General features: G+C 44.8%; 1 protein-coding gene and 1 long non-coding RNA gene across 6 annotated transcripts in view, besides 5 other annotated features; one reads left to right on the forward strand and one right to left on the reverse strand.

Annotated features, from left to right (window-relative positions):
- VLDLR-AS1 (VLDLR antisense RNA 1) overlaps positions 1–4154 on the reverse strand; it is an 86722-nt gene extending 82568 nt beyond the window's left edge. The window contains exon 1 of the long non-coding RNA NR_015375.2: positions 3881–4154. This is a non-coding gene — a long non-coding RNA (VLDLR antisense RNA 1). The remainder of the gene's footprint in view (positions 1–3880) is intronic.
- Positions 3110–3404: an enhancer, noted in NCBI's record as "tiled region #6053; K562 Activating non-DNase unmatched - State 3:PromF". NCBI's record gives its function as "activates a minimal TATA promoter and a strong SV40 promoter by Sharpr-MPRA in K562 cells {active_cell/tissue: K562}" and the evidence as "EXISTENCE:reporter gene assay evidence [ECO:0000049][PMID:27701403]".
- Positions 3283–3362: a silencer, noted in NCBI's record as "silent region_19732". NCBI's record gives its function as "represses an Ori minimal core promoter by ATAC-STARR-seq in GM12878 lymphoblastoid cells {active_cell/tissue: GM12878}" and the evidence as "EXISTENCE:reporter gene assay evidence [ECO:0000049][PMID:35858748]".
- Positions 3568–18572, forward strand: part of VLDLR (very low density lipoprotein receptor) — a 38270-nt gene continuing 23265 nt past the window's right edge. For all 5 annotated transcript variants that reach the window (NM_003383.5, NM_001018056.3, NM_001322225.2 and 2 more), the window contains exons 1-2: positions 3568–4052; positions 17234–17353. In NM_003383.5, the coding sequence (NP_003374.3) occupies positions 3971–4052; positions 17234–17353 (202 nt within the window). In that variant the 5' untranslated portion in view covers positions 3568–3970. The remainder of the gene's footprint in view (positions 4053–17233; positions 17354–18572) is intronic.
- Positions 3973–4242: a silencer, noted in NCBI's record as "silent region_19733". NCBI's record gives its function as "represses an Ori minimal core promoter by ATAC-STARR-seq in GM12878 lymphoblastoid cells {active_cell/tissue: GM12878}" and the evidence as "EXISTENCE:reporter gene assay evidence [ECO:0000049][PMID:35858748]".
- Positions 4513–4602: a silencer, noted in NCBI's record as "silent region_19734". NCBI's record gives its function as "represses an Ori minimal core promoter by ATAC-STARR-seq in GM12878 lymphoblastoid cells {active_cell/tissue: GM12878}" and the evidence as "EXISTENCE:reporter gene assay evidence [ECO:0000049][PMID:35858748]".
- Positions 4613–4702: a silencer, noted in NCBI's record as "silent region_19735". NCBI's record gives its function as "represses an Ori minimal core promoter by ATAC-STARR-seq in GM12878 lymphoblastoid cells {active_cell/tissue: GM12878}" and the evidence as "EXISTENCE:reporter gene assay evidence [ECO:0000049][PMID:35858748]".

An 18572-nucleotide genomic window follows, 5' to 3' on the forward strand; every position in this document is an offset into this window, starting at 1 on the left:
GATCAAAATCTATCACAAGTCCTTACTATGGTTCACAGGATAAAATCCAAAGCCTTAGCATGACATCCTAGACTCCAGCTAATCCAGTCCTTGCCTTTCTTCTTCAGCCTTACTTCACATTGTTAGTCCATTTGAACCCCACCCTTGAATCACCCTGAATCCCTTCCATTGCCTTGAATAGATACTGCTGTTTTGCCTTTGTGCCCTCTGCTCACCATGGTTTTCCTTCCCTCTTCCCCTGGTGTATCAGTCAGGTTAACACTAGGTTATGCTGAGGTAACAAAATCTCAGTAGATGAAGATGACAAAGATTTACTACTCTCTCACCCGTTCTATGTTAGGGGTTGGCAAGTTTGTTTGATTTTTTTTTTTTTCTAAAGGACTAGATGGTAAATATTTTAGGCTTTGGGAGCAACATACAGTCTCTGTTGCACACTATTCCTCTTCTTTGTAAAACTCTTTTTAAATGTAAAGATCACTCTTATTTGTAGGCCATACAAAAGCAGGTGACTGGCTAGACTTGGCCCATGAGCCCTAGTTTGCTAACCTCTACTCTATGTGACCAGTGCTAAAGACACATAGACAGCAGGGAACTACTCACATGGGTAGTTCTAAATGAATCGAATCACTCGGAGACCTGGGCTAATGCAGCAGCCACCTCTTAAACATTTCTTGTCACCACGCAGACACAAAGAGAGGGTTTCACATAAGCAATTAAGTGCTCCGGTCTGAAAGTGGCACCCTGTAACTTAGGCTCACAAATAATTAGCCAAAGTTAGTCTTTCGACCCCATCCAACCATAAGGGGGCCAGGACGTCCAATCCTACCATGTGTCCAGAAGTAGGGAGAATTCAGATCACCGGGTAAAAATTATGAAAAAAGCTCAGAGACAAACGCTCTGTGAAGCCTTTTCTGATACCTTCATCCTGCAGCCAGAATAGCTGCTTCTTCCTTGCAATCTTCTAGCACTTTAAGCATCTCTTAATCAGAGTGCTATACATAGGGTACTACAGTTGCCCACTTGCCTGCCTCCCCTACCAGATGCTGAGCTTCCTAGATAAGCACTTCTGTATGCCCACTACTTTGCACAGTGCCCGTTAGCCAGGGATGCTCACTATGTGTTGCTTCAACAAATAAATGAATGTGGTGGATTGTAGGAGTGAATGGGATTGCCTCTGCATTTACCTGACGGCGTCGGGAATCCAGCAGTGTCAACTTCTCTGAACCCAGTTAGTTCAACCATTTCAGTCTCCACTTATGATCAATTAGCTCTGTTAGTTCAACCACTTCAATATCCACTTATCATCAATTTATCTTTTTAGTTATTAGCTACTTTCTATCATAATCCAATGAATTTCTCCATACAACCTTTTTCTTCTAATAAACAACACCTTGCAGAGAGCTGGTCCTTGAGGCCACGGAGCACTTTGATATAATGTGGCTTGGCTTTCTTTTCAGTTTACAGGCCAAAAGGCAGACACAGAGAGGCACAGTGATTTTTCCCAAGTTACACAGTCAATCAGAGATGGAGCCAAAAGTTATGCTTTCTTTTGAGTCAACAAAAAAGCTACAGGATTGAATACAGAGCTGCAGCTAAGTTCACTGAAAGTTTATTTATATCCCTTGGAGAATTAGAAAGTACTCACACACGTTTTTCAAAGTTAAGTCTTATTATACCATATCAATGTATAGCTTGTAGTATACCTGTATCTCTGAGTAAAGTATTAAAAACAAGTCATATGACTGTTTATTAATGCTGCCTCTTTTTGTATTGATTCCACCCATCCCTTCTACTCCTTTCCTCTTCTGTAAAGCAGTAGCTCATCAGATGGCATTTCAGAACCCTGAGAATATGAAAGACATCATGCACTAAGGTTTTCCTATCACATCTCAATGCCATTAGGTGAATAACACCGGCATGCATCTTCACTACTAAATGTCATACAAACAAATTTCAGTTGTTTCACATGCAACCTGTGTGGCTGCTGCAGTTTGTATCAACTATGTAACCACAGGGTGGGCAAAATAGCATTCAAAATGAGCTATAGTGCAAGATACCATCCATACGTAGAGTTAAGCCCTTTCATGCTTAGCAGTCACAATCAGGATATCTTTGGCCCACAGAAACCTATCCTGACTGGAATTTTCCTCTCCTGTGTGTCTCCTGGATATAGTAAGTTCCTAATAAACATCTCCTCTGATTGCTAGCCTTGACAAATTTCCAGGAGAACCAGGGCAAGGAGAAGACAGTGAGGCAGTGCCCGCTGCTCTTCAGATCACCAACAGAATAGAGTCAGAATATGATATTATTGAAACCTTCCAAGTTTGAATTAAGATAAAAACAACTTTTTCAAAATACCAAAAACCTTTTATTTAAGAAAGTGAAATCGCTCGATGTGCCCTCCCACTCTGGTTAGATGCTCAACAGACCACAGCAGACAATGCACCTCAACCAGGGCTAAGTGTGCAAGAAAACTGAAGTACACAAAAAGCAAATTATAGACTCAGGTACTGTCAGGCACAAAAGAAGAACCAACCCTTTCTAGGAGTCTTGTCTTTGCTTCCTTTATTCTTTCCTCGATTCTTGTAATTGAATGTTACAAAGTATATCAAGAGGAATAAACGTATGGGGCCCCTCTCTTCCAAACAAGAAAAGGTTAAGCTTTTAATTACAGGCCCTCAAACTATCATTTTGTGCAATTAGCAATTAACTATAATCGTTGATGAGCAAATGCAAAGCTGCGCTAGCAATTTCCCTTCTCCTCATCCCAGGCTGGGTTATTTCAGTCTTGTTCTATTACAGAGGACCAGCCACAACCGCGCGCACTCTCTTTCAAACATACACACTCTCTCACTTAAAGACACATTTAGTTTTCGGCAAAACGGCATCTCAGCGTGCGATTGAGACCGGCATCCCAAACCCCACTTTTGAGCAGCCCAAACGTTTGGAGCCCCTCCGCTTCATCACTTTCTGAGTGGATAGAGGAGGCCCGAAGAAGATGCTACCTACCAGCCTCTCTCAGGGGCGCAGGAGAGGGTGGTAGAGAGATGCTTGTTGCCCCTGGAAACTGCAAGTACCCCCCAGGTGCACGCCCCGTCAGTGGGGAGGCGGTGGCAACAGCAACGATAGTTGCATCAGCGCTAACTGCTGCTGCTGCTGCGTGTTCTGCCGGAGGCTGCCGGGAGGGTACAGTAATGACTGTAGGGAGCGCACAGCCGCTGCGGCGGCAGGTTCCCTGGATCAGGAAATTAGGACAGGCACCCGGGATTGGAGGCGAGGGCGGCGCGCGAGCCAACCAGCGGTCGCCCCGGGCCCCCGTGAGCCCCAGGCGAACGCGCGGAGCAGCCGGGCCCCTAGAGCGGTCCGGGTGGCGGCGGCGGCAGCCACGACCACGACCGCGGTCACTCACGCACGCTCACACTCGCACGCTCCCCGCGCGGGCACCCGGCTGCCCGGCGCGTGCAAGAGGAGCGCGTCGAGGGAAAGGAGGGCCGAAGCCGCCGCGCTCCCGCCCGCCCGCCGCGCCTCCCGTTGACCACGCCCCCTCCGGCCCCCTCCCCGCTGCTCACCCCGCTCTCCGGCCGCCGCCGGTGCGGGTGCTCCGCTACCGGCTCCTCTCCGTTCTGTGCTCTCTTCTGCTCTCGGCTCCCCACCCCCTCTCCCTTCCCTCCTCTCCCCTTGCCTCCCCTCCTCTGCAGCGCCTGCATTATTTTCTGCCCGCAGGCTCGGCTTGCACTGCTGCTGCAGCCCGGGGAGGTGGCTGGGTGGGTGGGGAGGAGACTGTGCAAGTTGTAGGGGAGGGGGTGCCCTCTTCTTCCCCGCTCCCTTCCCCCGCCAACTCCTTCCCCTCCTTCTCCCCCTTTCCCCTCCCCGCCCCCACCTTCTTCCTCCTTTCGGAAGGACTGGTAACTTGTCGTGCGGAGCGAACGGCGGCGGCGGCGGCGGCGGCGGCACCATCCAGGCGGGCACCATGGGCACGTCCGCGCTCTGGGCGCTCTGGCTGCTGCTCGCGCTGTGCTGGGCGCCCCGGGAGAGCGGCGCCACCGGAACCGGTGAGTGAGGACGCGCCCCTCCGCCGGCGGGCGGGACCCAGCCGGGGCACCGGGAGACCCCGAGGCGTAGGTCTCCGTTTGCCCACCCGCCTCCTAGGAGGCGCCTCTCGGTTCTCCTCGCCTTCCCTCCCTCCCCTCCGTGGTGGCGCCTCTGAGCTGTCAGCGCCGAGGCTAAAGGGAGCCGGGCTTGGGGAACAGCGGGGTTCGGGGTGCCCCGACGCCTCGCCTGAACTAGTCTTCTGCCCCTCACTCCGCCTCCCCCAGAGCCGCTGCTTCGCCTCGTTTCTCGCCCTCTTGACGGGCGCCGAGGTGCGTGGGCTTCTGAGCATTGAACAATGGTTCTGCCTCCTCTGCCAGGCGCAGTGTTGGGAAGGAGGCAGAGGGCCAAGACGTGTGCGGCAGCCTCGGGCGCACCCTCGAACCCCGGGGAGTGCGGGAGCGGACGGGGGGAGAAGGTGAGCGCCTCCGGGGACGCGGAGCGCCAGGGGCCGGCCGGGCTTCAGAGTCTTCCGGCGGCCGCGAGCTGGCGCACGTTCGGTGGGCGGCGGCCGGGAGGCTCCGCGGAGCCGAGGGCACCCGGACTGCGACTCCCCCGGCGCGGGGCCGCCTCTCCGGCGTGCGGGGTAGGGGAGCGGCGGGGCTTTACGCAGGACTCTGCTCTGGGCGCTTCTCCTCTCCCTTTTCCCCGCCTCGGGCGGCGTTTGGAAACCGCTCGGGTCTCCCGTGTAGCTGAACGCGGAGGGGGAGTGGAGGGGAGACTTAATCAGGTTAGTTTGCTGACCCTCCTTCCCGGTGACGTTTCCTCGAGAGGAATTGAGTCCTAGGCTAGTGACTGTAATTAGCCTTCATTCTACACAATAGCTCAAAGGAGCAGCGCGAGAGCGAGCGTGTGGCCCTGTCTTGTTGGGAAGGGCGGCGGTGACTACTGTCGGGTCCCCAGACTCTGCCGCGGGGGCCTGGGGGCCCCGCCTGGTCGTCAGCCACGTTCCCACTTGGGGCCTCGTAACTTTCCTGGACAGGCGACAGGAAGCCTTTCTGAGAGGACTCAGTCGGAATCCTAGCGCGTCCCCGAAGTGATCTTCAGATGTGACGCCGAGGGGCTTGCTTGCCAGCTGCAGGGAATTGGGACTGAAAGCCGCCCAGGCCCTTAACACCCGTTCCAGAGTCCCTGGCTCCCGTCGCCGGGTGGCTTCAGGGGCCCTGCCGGCCTGCAGTCACGTGCTCCTGAAGTGAGAGCGAACTTTAAAGCATGTGGTCAAGGAGCCTGTCGGGCAGCGCCTGGGGTTTTTACGTCTCCGAATGCCCCTGCCCTTTGGTTGCCACTGTCCGGAGCGTGTGAACTGGGACTGGCCTTTCCGCCCTCTGCGATTGGTTAGCGGTGCGATCACGTTTAGGTTGGTCACATGGTTCCGCGGACTCTTAAGTGGGCAGCATGGGCAGTGTTATTTTCAATGGAAAGTAGGAGACTCCACAGGCTCTTACGGGCTGTTCTCTCAAATGCCTTCCCCTGCCTGGACTCTTTGAAGAGGACGAATGTGTAGTGAACATGGAATCTGATGTGTAACAAGCCTGAGAGCCTAGAAAAGCTCTGCTTACAAGAGTTTCCAAACGCTAGCATTAATCATTAATAGATGAGTAATACTAACTTATTAAACGATTTCTCAGTATAGTGCCATGACTTGCATTATGCCTTTTGTAACATTTCAAAACGCTAAGGTATACCAGAAGGAGGGACAATTATCCAGGAAGGTGAGAGAAAAGTTTCGTTTTTGCTGCATGTCCCTTCCACTAGAGGTTAACTTTACCTTATAGAATGCTAGGAATGCACCTAAACTACTGACATGAGTTAGTCAAAGCCAGATGTTCACCTTGTATTGGGCAGGTGAGGATCCTTTTCACTTTGTCACATGTGAAATATTTGACATGCCATGAACAATGGAAAAACAAATTCTTCAAAGGAGAGGAAGCAGATTCTTCCAGAACTGGAGGAAATTTGGGCTGAGGCAGTTATTGACCCTAAACCAATCCCAACCGGCATCTGTCTTAAGTTCAAAGTCTCAGGGCATGTGGGCTGACTTTCTACCCTGGAGCTTCTACACATACCCCTTCTGTCCACTGGCACATGGTGCTGTTCCACAATACTCCTGGACAAGACAGGTGAACACTGAGACTCTGGCAAGGAACTTAAGGCTAACAAGAAGTTGGTATACCTGATTGCACAATTCCTGGGGGTTCTGGGACATTTTCCTTCAGCCTAAGTAGTCAAGATTAAGATCTGTGGTATGATATATTCTTTAAGGCCAGAGTCTAAAAGAACCAAGGTTTTTTGAGAGCTATTCATATATGGCTAGCAACTAGCCTAAGAATAGAAAGAAAATTCCCTCATTGTGAGAAGTGGGTTGGTGGTACTGGTGGTAGTAATAGACCTGGAGGTAGGAAACTGGTTGGCATGGAAAGTAAACTTGGCTCATCCAGATAGCACCAATGAAGGTATGACGATGATAGTACCCCTTATCAAAGACTGATCACTCATGTGAGCAGGGACTGCGTAAAGGAAGGTCACCAGCCAAGCCCTCCTTGGCAGTAACAGCTTCATGAAATCCAGTGTAGCTTTGTTCCCTGGATCACCCTCTTGCCCACTTTATGTGGCATTTACCTATAGTGCCTGTCCTGTGTCATTTTGATTGTTTGCTTTTATGGCCTGAGTCCCCAGATACTTAAAGCATGTATAAAGGTCAAGTAGAGCTGCCAAATATTAAGACTTTAGTACAATAGACTGCTATTTAACACTAAACATTGCTAGCAAAGGTGACAGTCTCCATGCTCAAAAGAAGTGAAGACCTGATCCAAGTGTCTCTACCTGTCATAAAATTGAATAACCGTAAACTTGACTTGAGTAGTTTCATTACAGTTTTGGAAGAGGAAAAAAGTTGTTACAAGCCCCTTCTGCTCCAGGAGAGGTATCAAATTGATAAGACTTAACAAGAACTCCTAGAGTAGAACATGACCATAAGATCAAGGGAACACATAGTACCCAGCCGTGTGGCTTCGGGTTTTGATCCCAAACCTTGAAGACTTGGCACACAGCATAGAAATACAGCTAATTCATTTTAAATATCTAGCCCATTTTCTGTTTCTCACAGAATGTAAATTTGTTCTTTTCAGTGCAGGGAAAAGTGTTTAAGACAAGGCAGTTGCCTACGTGACTTAAAGTAATGATTGCATTCACTTTGGATACTGACTTTCATTTGGAAAACCACCTTCACATACTAGCCTATAAGAAATTAAATGTATTAAAGGGCTTGATGAGGTCTATAATGATGTTCGTTGTAAATGTACCTGCCTTAGGGAGCTCCTTGTGGTGGCTAATACAACTGCCCTCTACATGGTTAGTTGATAAATTCAAAATTGCTTAGTTTGGTCCCTACTAATTTAATCTCAAAAGAATACTTGGACAACAGAGTGATAGACTACTTTCAAGGCAAACAGTCCAAAAATACTGTCTGCTGAGGTTATGGGCGAGATATACTTGTTAAGCGGAAGTAAGTAGTCCAGGGACAATTTTTTCTGCCACCTAAAGAGTTTTGGGCTAGAAAATCTGAGGACTGATAGTTTTTCTGAAGAGTTGGGGCAGAGTCTAACCTAGCTATAGGCGAATCTGGCTTTTAAGTAAAAATCATCTCAATTTTACTGTCTGCATTTTTCAAACTAAATCAGTGTCTCTTTGCTAAGTTCGTCTATTGGCTTGCAACAAAAACTCTAAACACTGTTAATACCACTTAGTTAAGTACACTAACTGCACTGCAGGAACCAAATGAGATGGCAGGTGATAACACAGGTTAAGTGTCCTTTATCTGAAATACTTGAAACCAGAAGGGTTCCACAGAGTTTAGATTTTTTCAGATTTTGGGACATTCACACATACATAATAAGGTATCTTGGGGATGGGACCCAAGTCTAAACATGAAATTCGTTTATATTTCACATACACCTTATACACATAGCCTGAAGGTAATTTTATAGACTATTTTTAATGATTTTATACAAGAAACAAAGTTTTGACTGCAACTTGTCACGTGATGTCAGGTGTGGAATTTCCACACTTACGGCATCATGTCAGCACTCAAAGTTTTGGATTTTGGAGCATCTCAGATTGCGGATTAGGGATGCTCAACCTGGACCATAAATTTAGCATACTTTTCCCCTTGAGTGAAGTCTCCTAGGAAAGCTTGGGCCCAACAGTTATTTTGAGTCTCTAAGCAAGAGAATGCCTGTTAGGTCCTGTGAGAGTAAGTGTGGAGATTCTGTTAGAAATGTTTCAATGCTTGCTTAGAGATCCTTTGCCTACTTTGTAGTTTAGAGATGCTGGAAACTATAAGATGAAGCCTCTGGCTAGAGCAGCTGATTTTGCCAACTTGGGGGCCATCTGGGGAGCCTTTATGTATGTAGACGAGGTGGTGGGGATGGGGGGACTTGCAATTTGCCAACCAAGGGACATAACAAAGCCTCGGCGATAGACAGCATTTGTGAGTTACATCACAAGTTTGTTAGAACTTAATAGTTCTCCCACATGCTGTGAGTAAACAGGGTTTCTATTTTATAGACTGCCTCTAATCTTTCATTTTCTTAAGAAAGACTTCCCCACATCTGAGGTATTAACTGATCTGTATGTTCACTAAGTAGGTTGCAGATTGATGTTGGTCATCTTTGTGCATCTTCTGGAAACCACTTAATGTACATCTACTGAGTACCTACCATATGGCACCAGGCATGGGGACAGAGTGACCATAGCACTGGTTCCTTCCTTTGTGGCACTTAGTCTAGTAGGGGAATCAAAGCAGGAAACAGCCAAAGACCGCTTGGAATAGAAGCTCTGAAGAGGAGTGAGCAGATCCAGTGTTTAAGACTTAATCATAAAAGAGGCAGATAGCAGCTGGAGATTTCTGGAATTTCCATATGCTATCTGGGTTCTAGCTTATGAAGTTTCCCTAAAATTACCAAGAACTTAGACTTTAATTTCAAAAAGCCAGAAATAATTCTATGTCTGCAGATAATCCTACAAAAGTGATATGACTAAAGCAACAATGGATTACTGCCAGTATTACCAAAGAGCATTAAAACATGTCAGAAGTAAAATCTGCGTCTGATATATCACACTCAACTTTACCAGTTAGCCGCTGCTAACCTTCTCAGGTGTTGGAACCTCTCTTTTCACATGGAAATGAAGCCAACACACCCAAAGGGACACACTCATTCTGACAGACAAGTGTGTGAAAATGCACTGTTTTTAAATGATAAATTGCAACAAAGAGGCCGGGCGCGGTGGCTCAAACCTATAATCCCAGTGCTTTTGGAGGCCGAGGCAGGCAGATCACGAGGTCAGGAGTTCGAGACCAGCCTGGCCAACATAGTGAAAGCCCATCTCTACTAAAAATACAAAAAAATTAGCTGGGTGTGGTGGTGCGAGCCTGTAATCCCAGCTACTCAGGAGGCTGAGGCAGGAGAATCGCTTGAACCCGGGTGGCAGAGATTTCAGTGAGCCGAGATAACGCCACTGCACTCCAGCCTGGGCTACAGTGCGAGAATCCATCTCAAAAAAAAAAAAAAAAAATTGCTACAAAGATGAGGTGAAGGTACCCTCATAGGCCTAGGGAACAGGGACCTTTATAACCTAGAGTCTTTCAAAGTATTCTAGCTAGTAAAACAACCAGTCACACTTGGTTTCAAGTTCTGAAAAAGCTGGGGGAAATGTTTTTGACAAAAGTTTTTAGTTCAGACCAGCTTTATTAGTAAACTAATAAATCAACTCATGCACCCAAGACTACCAACTAGTGCCTAGAGAATATAGGATGTCAGGCACCAGGTCCTGAGTTACAAATGTGAACTGCAGCCCATGCCTTAGGGGATCTCTGTGTCTAAAGGTGAAAAATGGTAGCTGAACTCATCTCCTTGGGTGATGGCTCTGTGACAGGGACTATTATGAGAAAGCAGCCAGACCATACCTAGTTTTTCCAAAAAAGGCATTGAGGCCTCATTCAAGAATACAATCTGAGCCCACTCCTGGTGAATGGGTGGACAAGGGCAACATGAACAAACTGAGACAAAGCAGCCATGAGGAAGGGCAAAGCCATGGGGAAGTGAGTGGGTCCCCTTTGAGCTGTTAGCTCAGCCCGTATAGCAGATGGTGGGTAGTGACCAATAGGGAAAAGTCTGAGGAAATTAGTAGGGAACTTAATCCTAGAGATAGTGGTAAGCCAAGAAATGACCCCATTCTTGGCTATTCTAGGTTGCTTGAATCACTAGGTTGCTTGATATGGGTAGAGAATGTGGCAGCCTGGAGGCAAAGGAACAAGACATTTAAATTGACATCAGGTGAGAGGAGGGCTTGGGCATAGCCAGGGATTGATGGCCAAATGTCAGGGAAGAATTTGGGCTCATTTCTGGAGTACTGATTTAGAGTAAGTAATGGGGCCAATCAAAGATAGACTACACAGGGAGGGAAGGATGGATTTTAGAAGAACCTCTGCCTAGTAAGACACCCAAATAAATTTTTTCTGCAAAATAGTTTTGAGGGCTTTACTCACATGTTACTATCATGTGTATTGTAAAAGAGGCATTTATCTCCTGTGTCCCTCCTGTGATGAACATTAGGCCTTATGAGGGTGTTATTGGTATATGCTACAACCCTGAAAATGAAAGAGCCACTTACATTATGGGTAGAAGCTGTAGCTTCTTAACCTTAGTGCAGTGGTTCTCAAAGTGTGGACCGAAATTGGCAACATTAATTCAATGTTAATTGAGTTCATGTGTCAACATTGACTCATTAGAAATGCAAACTTAGGCCCTGTTCTAGACCTGCTGAATCAGAATCCAGGCTGGGGCCCAGCATTCTGTGTTTTAACAAGCCTTCCTGGGGATTCTGATGCACACGGGAGCTTGAGAACGACTGACTTAGTTTACCACTCACAGAAGCTAACGATTTTCAAGGTATATCCGATGGAGGGCCTTTCCTCTGACTTGAACCCTAGACAAGAAAACCAAGAGCTATAATCCTTTTAGAAGACTTGCTGAGGAATTCTAGAAACATTTTTAAAAACTTAGAATGAGGAAGGAAAGCAGGCCTCCATCTCAACAACAAGGCTAAATCTAAGTTGATGCTTAGTAACACAGTATCTAGAGCCAGTGCCTGGGTTCAACTCCTAGCTCTGCCCAGGGCAATCTGGGACAAGTGACTGTACTTTCCTTCTCTACCAGGTTTCCTGATCTGTAAAAGAGGAATAATAGGGCCAACTGTGCAGGATTAAGAATTTTAAAAGCTAAGAGATGTGAAGTCTTAGAGCAGTGTTTGACCAACAACAAAAACGATTTGATTATGTCCATGATTCTTAAGATCAATTTGATGTAAATGGAAATTGAATGTAACTGACAATTGAACTGTAAAATTCACTTATTTCCATGACTCAGAAGAATTAGCCTACATATTCACCACTTTTTAGTGGCCCCCGAACTAGTGTTTTTGTTGCTGTTTGTTTGTTTGTTTTCGAGATGGAGTTTCACTCTTGTTGCCCAGGCTGGAGTGCAATGGCACTATCTCGGCTCACTGCAACTTCTACCTCCCAGGTTCAAACAATTCTCCTGCATCAGCCTCCCAAGGAGCTGGGATTACAGGTGTGTGTAATGCCTGGCTAATTTTTGTATTTTTAGCAGACACTGGGTTTCACCATGTTGACCAGGCTGGTCTTGAACCCCTGACCTCAGGTGATCTGCCCGCCTCAGCCTCCCAAAGTGCTGGGATTACAGGCATGAGCCACCGTGCCTGGCCCAAACTGGTTCTTACAATGTTTCAGAGGCTGACTTTAAGGCCAGAGCACAATCTTTGTGCTTGACAGCTCAGAACATTTCCCTTAACACCTGTTGTGGTACTTTGCCTCTTACAAACCCTTCTCCCCTTAGGAAAACTTTTTTGCTGACTCAGAAATTTGCTTGTCCTGAAAGGAGTTTTAGCTTACAAATAGAAACACTGTCATTAAAGTGGCAAGCAGTAGAAGTGAACTAGACTAAAAATAAATGCCCTTGGTGGCCCCAGAAGTGCCAAAACAAATGGACGGAAGGAATTCCAGCAAGTAACACCCATATGCTCAAGCAATGAGTAAGGGCATGAGAGATGTAAATGCTTGGCCCTGGTGGCCCCAGCAGTGTGGCAGCATGAGCCTCTGTGCAGGCTGAAGTACGCTCTGAGCCTGGTACCCAGAGACACTTTCTCTATATTCTGGGCATGCATCTTGGAGTGCTCCTGCCAGGGTGCTGCTCGGAGCCCCATAGGGAGATTTGTAGTCCGTTTGGAAGGCTTGGTATTTACTCGAAGGCCTATGCAGTTTTTTACTGAAGCTTATGTATTAGTCCTCCATGTCAACCGCTACAGGGAAAATTAGACAATGGCGGCTGACTTCTATATGCATTAAAAACCCTGAGTTTCCCTCTAGGACATTGGTCTAGACAAGGAATTTATGAAAGAGACCTCAAAAGCTTAGGCCACAAAAACAAAATAGACAAATGGGACTTAATTAAACTAAAAAGCTTCTGCACAGCAAAAGAAATAATCAACAAAGTGAAGAACAACCTGCCGAATGGGAGAAAATATTTGCAAACTATTATCTGACAGGAGACTAATATCCAGAATATACAAACTCAAACAATGGGGAAAAAATAATCCCATTAAAAAGTGGAGAAAGGACATGAATAGACATTTCTCAAAAGAGGACATAAAAATAACCAACAGATACATGAAAAAATCGTTACCATTACTAATCATTAGAGAAATGCAAACCAAAACCAAAATGACATATAATCTTATACCAGTCAGAATGGCTATTAATAAAAAGACAAAATACAACAGATGTTGCTGAGGATATGGAGAAAAGGGAAGTCTTATACACTGCTGGTGAGAATGTAAACTAATACAGCCACCAAGGAAAACAATATGCAGATTTCCCAAAAAACTAAAACTGGAATTAACATTTGATCCAGCAATCCCTCTACTGGGTATCTACCCAAAGGAAAAATCAGTATATCCAAGGGATACCTGCACTGGCATGTTTATTGCAGCACTATTCACAGTAACAAAGATACAGAATCAACCTAAATGCCCATCAATAATGAAAGGGTAAAGAAAATATGGTACATATACACAATGGAATACTATTCAGCCATGAAAATGAATGAAATCATGCCATTTGCAGCAGCATGGGGATGGAATTGGAGGTCATTATGCTAAGGGAAATAAGCCAGGCACAGCAGGACAAATATCTTATGTTCTCAATCGTATGTGGAAGCTTAAATATTTCATTCCATGGAGGTAGATGGTAGAAAGATGACAGAGACTCAGAAGTAGGGGGAAAGGGAGAGCAGATGAAAGGAAGTGGGTTAAAGAATACAAACCTACAGTAAGGTAGAAGAAATAACGTCAATGACTGTAGTTAACAAAAACGTGCTCGCGTGATGGACACCCTAAATCCTCGGATTTCATCAGTATAGATTCATTACATACATGTAACAAAATTTTACATGTACCTCATAAATTTATACAAACACCACCAAGAAGAACCCTGTTTTTCTTGGAGCCAGTGAACTGCCAATGTGTCTGTGTAGCAAAGTTAACTACTTAGAGAAGCAAGGCTCCCAGGAAAATAGGTCCTTGAAGTTAGTGTGCATATTCTATAGTCTGATTCCATCTATATAAGTGACAGTAAAAGTGAGAATTTTTTGACGCTCCAGGAATTCATTCATTACAAATTTAAATAGGCACATAAGTGAGTAGGTACAAGCGACTTCCAACCCCCTCACCCAAAGGAGCAGAGATATTCTAAGGATTAGAGCTGGAAGAAAACCTAGACAATTTCTTAATAGAACCCTTTTCAAATTCTTACACCAAAATCCAATATTCAAAAGAAAGTCTTGGTAGAGGCAGAGGTGGAACACCCAGGGCCTCTGCTACTGTGGCCTTTCCCTCCACTTCAACCACCCCTCTAGCCTGAGGCATTCTTGTGAAACCTCATGGCTTTAAGGAACCCACTAACAATTGCATTTTGCCCCATCTTCTCACCTGTCTGAGCAGAAATGCCTAGCACTTCTACTTCCAAGGTATTTTTTGAGGTGTCATTGGCTTTAGTTTAGCCTGAAGAATTAAAAGAATCTCGAGTGTAGATGATTTCAAGCTCAACTTGTTCCCTTTATGAAAGTATAATACTGAATTTGAGACGTAACTTTCATGGATGGAAATAGACTGCAGGTCCACAATCCTATAATCCCAAAGCTTTGGAAACCAAAAGCCTCTTAACTCATTTGGTGCTTTCAGTTCTCCTAGAGCTCTGCACAGCAGCAGTCCCAGCTGAGCACCAGAGGTGGATAGGTAGAACCTTTTAAAAACTTGAACAGAAAACTTAACAGTGTTCCAGTCAGGTGGCTAAGGGCTGGGCATTCGATTTAGTGTCTGAGCTCTCCCTCTCTGTGGGAAGCAGAGAATTAAACAGAACTAGGGAGCACTTTCTGCCCAGTAGCAGTCCCTCAAAACAAAGTGCTTAGGAAACTAGGAAACGAAGAGGCATAGCCATAAAGCTTAAGGTCTTTATTTGCCTGTCTTTAAAGAGTCCTTTATAAAGCCAGCTTGTCTTCCCACCCCCACCCCAATGTCATTCTTTTAAACAGGCAGGGACATTTTAGTAGCACACTGTACTCCTAATGCCTGTTGCTACTCCTTATTGGAGAGAGAGAGAGAGAGAGAGTGTGTGTGTGTGTGTGTGTGTGTGTGTGTGTGTGTGGTTGAGAGAGAGGGAGTAAAACACAGCTTTATGATGATCAGGCAGAAGCTTGAGTAAAGTGGAAATATCTCGGATAAGAAAAGCTAGAAATTAAACTCCTTTTTGGCTTCGGATATTTTCTTAGTAGAAAATGCTGATGCCTGTCCTGAGTCTCCTCAATATAGACTCTTAGAGCAGAGCTGCTAGGATTTTAATAGAATTTATTACTGTTGATAGCTTGTATATTACAACTAAATTCAGAGACCCTCTTTAAGGCAATAGTAGAGTAAATATCAGCCTTGGGATACTGTATGCCCATACTTAATCCCAGGCCACTCTGAGTGCCTAGGAAATCTGTAGCTTCAAACTCATTCTTAAGGAGGTTGTCTTCCAGGTACCTTAACCCTGAGGTGGGAAACTATCAATTGACATTGACCTTTAAGTTGCTATTCAAATCTGATTACAAGGTTTCCATTTTGATTATGTAGATATCAATGTCAATGTTGTTGTCTCATTTTGACTTAATAACCTTTGGTAACTAAAACCTTAAAAAAAAAATCAGAGGCTTTCAGTCTTTACTGTATCTTAACTCCAACCTGACTATTCTTTCCAAGTATATTTATACCTATGTTCTCAGACTACAAATCATTCTTTTCCTGATTACTCAAGGTAGAGTCTTACCACTTTCACAGTCCCCAAAGGTAGTAAGGTCATATAGAACTGCAAGACACGTACCCTCAGCATTGAGAATATTGCAAACATATTAAGAATCCAGTGGCAATGAGGGGAGAGGGGAGAGGCACCAGGTACCTCAGATTTGGTTTAGCAGTATAAAACAACACAGGTGATGCTTCCTGACAACAATCTCTACCCTCCTCTAGTTCCCCTTCTAAATCCCTAGTATATTACAACCAATAAAACGTGAAGAATGAAAAAGTATTATGAAATGAAGGTAGGAAACCATTCTGCTTTGTAGCTGGGTCCTAGCTTAATTAGACTCATGGGAGCAGAGTGATAGATGCAGTTTTAAAAGCAACATATTTAATATCCAAGGAAGTAACCACACCCATATGGTCATCTTGATTTGGGCCAAATTTTAATCTCCCTGGGAAGAGCCACAAAGCACGAAATGCTCCCAGACAGCAGGGAGTAGCTGACACTAGGGAGACCAACTAGGGTATTGTGCACGTAACACAAGAGTTCCAGTCTGTGCTTGTCTCTGTAATATCAGTTCTTATGCCAGCATGCCACAGCTGCAAATGCTGAAAGGTGGCAGGAAATCGGAAGGCCTTCTGCTGGGACACCCTCCCTAAGTAATCTGCGTGAACTATATGATTCCACTGTTTTTCTCAAATATTTGCAGTATATTTGCTTTAAGGGCCACATCTGTGCCTTTTATCGTGAAGCAATCACATCCGCCAGAAGGACGGAACTGCTAATGATAGGAAGCACCTGAACATTAGCTGGCCTGTGCCGGGCAAAACACCAACTGTCCCACTTAGAAGTCTTAGTTCACACCATTGTGTGAATTAAATATCCATACATTAAGCATAGAAAACCAGATTCAGAGAAATCGAAACTACATCTTCAGCTCCACCTCACTTTCCTTTCCTCTCCTCTTTAAATGACAAATGATCTTCCTTTCCCTCTTAACTATACTTTCTTGTTGCTTTTATCTTGGAGCTGTTTTTTAAAGCTGTGTTTTTCCAATTAGACCTCAGTTTCTAAGAGGAGGAATCATGTATTAAATCTCTATTTCTACCCTATTCTTGCTGCTCCTTCTAAATCTTCTTCACTGTGCTTGTAATAGAAACATCATTAATGGATAATAGTATGGATGTGGACAAGAAATGCCATTAAAGGATTAGGACTTGGCTGATTATAGCCACACACGTAGTTTCAACAAATGAGAGAAATGAGTCCACAGGCAGAGATGATGCCCCTTGTGGTCTCTGGGCAATCTGGATTCCTTCTATTTTCGTCTGGCTCCATTTGCCCGAGATCACTATTCCAGCCACCATGCCCAATTTTCAGGTACCAGGAATGAAGAGATGGAAAGAAAATGGATCCTCTATCCTCTTAAGGACATTTCCCAAAGTTGTATATACCATTTTAGTTTACATTCCATTAGTCAGAATGTAGCCCCTTGGCTGCACCTCACTGAGAAAGAGGCTTGAAAATCTAGTATTTAGTCTTAGCATGCACCCAGCTAAGAACGCAATTACTGTCAGTCACTGGCTGAAGAGCCATCCTACTCTGGCCCTTAGGATGTCATAGCCTGCCGAGTCTGCAGTATCCTTCTGAGAAGGTCCCCATCCATGGGTATTAGGTATCTTGAATCTATAACCAATCCTTGCTTTACCGAATGTTCCCTTCTTATTCTAGGGAGAAAAGCCAAATGTGAACCCTCCCAATTCCAGTGCACAAATGGTCGCTGTATTACGCTGTTGTGGAAATGTGATGGGGATGAAGACTGTGTTGACGGCAGTGATGAAAAGAACTGTGGTAAGTAAAGAGTTTGATGACTTATGCATTTTGTTAAAATATGATGTTATCTTAGTCTGCAAATGTATTGAGATTCTGAAAATAAAATCCACTTCTAACAATTGCTTTGAAAGAATCTATACTTCTCTGTGTAAAGGAATAAAATTGAATGTTTGACGTGGGGTTATCAACTTGAGAATGGAATGATAAGGTGATGTTCCATTTAAATGACAGGACCTAGTTTATCTTAGATCAGACAAACGTGGAATAGGAATCTGGGAGAAGGGAGAAGAGGACCAGAAATAGAGACAAACAGAAGATTGCTTAGAAGGGGCTTTTTTCCCCTTTTAATTTTCAAATGGCTCTGATCCTAGAAAAGAAGGCAAGCCATGGACATGAGAAAATCCCATAAAGTTTCAGGGGGTTAATTAACCCTTGACATAGAAACTACAAGCCAGCACAGATCAAAGATCAGATAAGGATTCTTTTTTAATTCTCTGCCTACAATAGTTGCTAATTCTAAAGCATTAGCAGGGCGGAAGACATTCTCTCCCCAAGAGAATGGGGATACAGTGTCACAGCCATCAATCAGCATCTATTAAAAGATCACTGTGAGAAATGCCTATGTATGCAATCTATACAACCTCATGTCAAGCCAAAATAGCTGAGAACTGCATGGCAAGATTACATTTACATACCATGAATACATGCTGAAATTTGCTCTACGATCCCTTTGTTCAGGGTTGTAAACATTCTGAAACAATATTCTATGTGAATATTGGTGCTAACATTGTCATTTATCTTTTAAAAGATGTTATATAAAGATGTTCACTATACAAGGTAGAAATACAGAAGAAAAGTAGAGTCTAAATGTAGGTTTCATCAACTGCCATCTTGTTATGCCTTTACCTACTTCTTCATGCATCATTATTAAAATGCTATAAAGTATGCATCATGGCAGACCTTGTGCTACACCTGATCTCTCAGAGCAGTATCACAGGTGTTTTCATGCCAATGTGTAAAGCAGATCAGTAGCTCCTTTAGAAGCATAAGAAAGTCCATTCTACCATCTCAGGGAAGAAACTTACATCCAGTCTCAGGACCAAGAATAGTTCTCCTGTGCAACACTTTATCATCATTTGCATTTTAACACTAAGATTTTAATCTATTCCACAAGACACTGAGTCTCATGCTATTTCTGGGTTACCTAGGTAATTTAGTTCTCTTACTAAATATCTCC

The sequence above is a fragment of the Homo sapiens genome, chromosome 9 (genome assembly GCF_000001405.40).
Source record: "Homo sapiens chromosome 9, GRCh38.p14 Primary Assembly".
In the NCBI taxonomy this organism is placed as follows: Eukaryota; Metazoa; Chordata; class Mammalia; order Primates; family Hominidae; genus Homo; species Homo sapiens.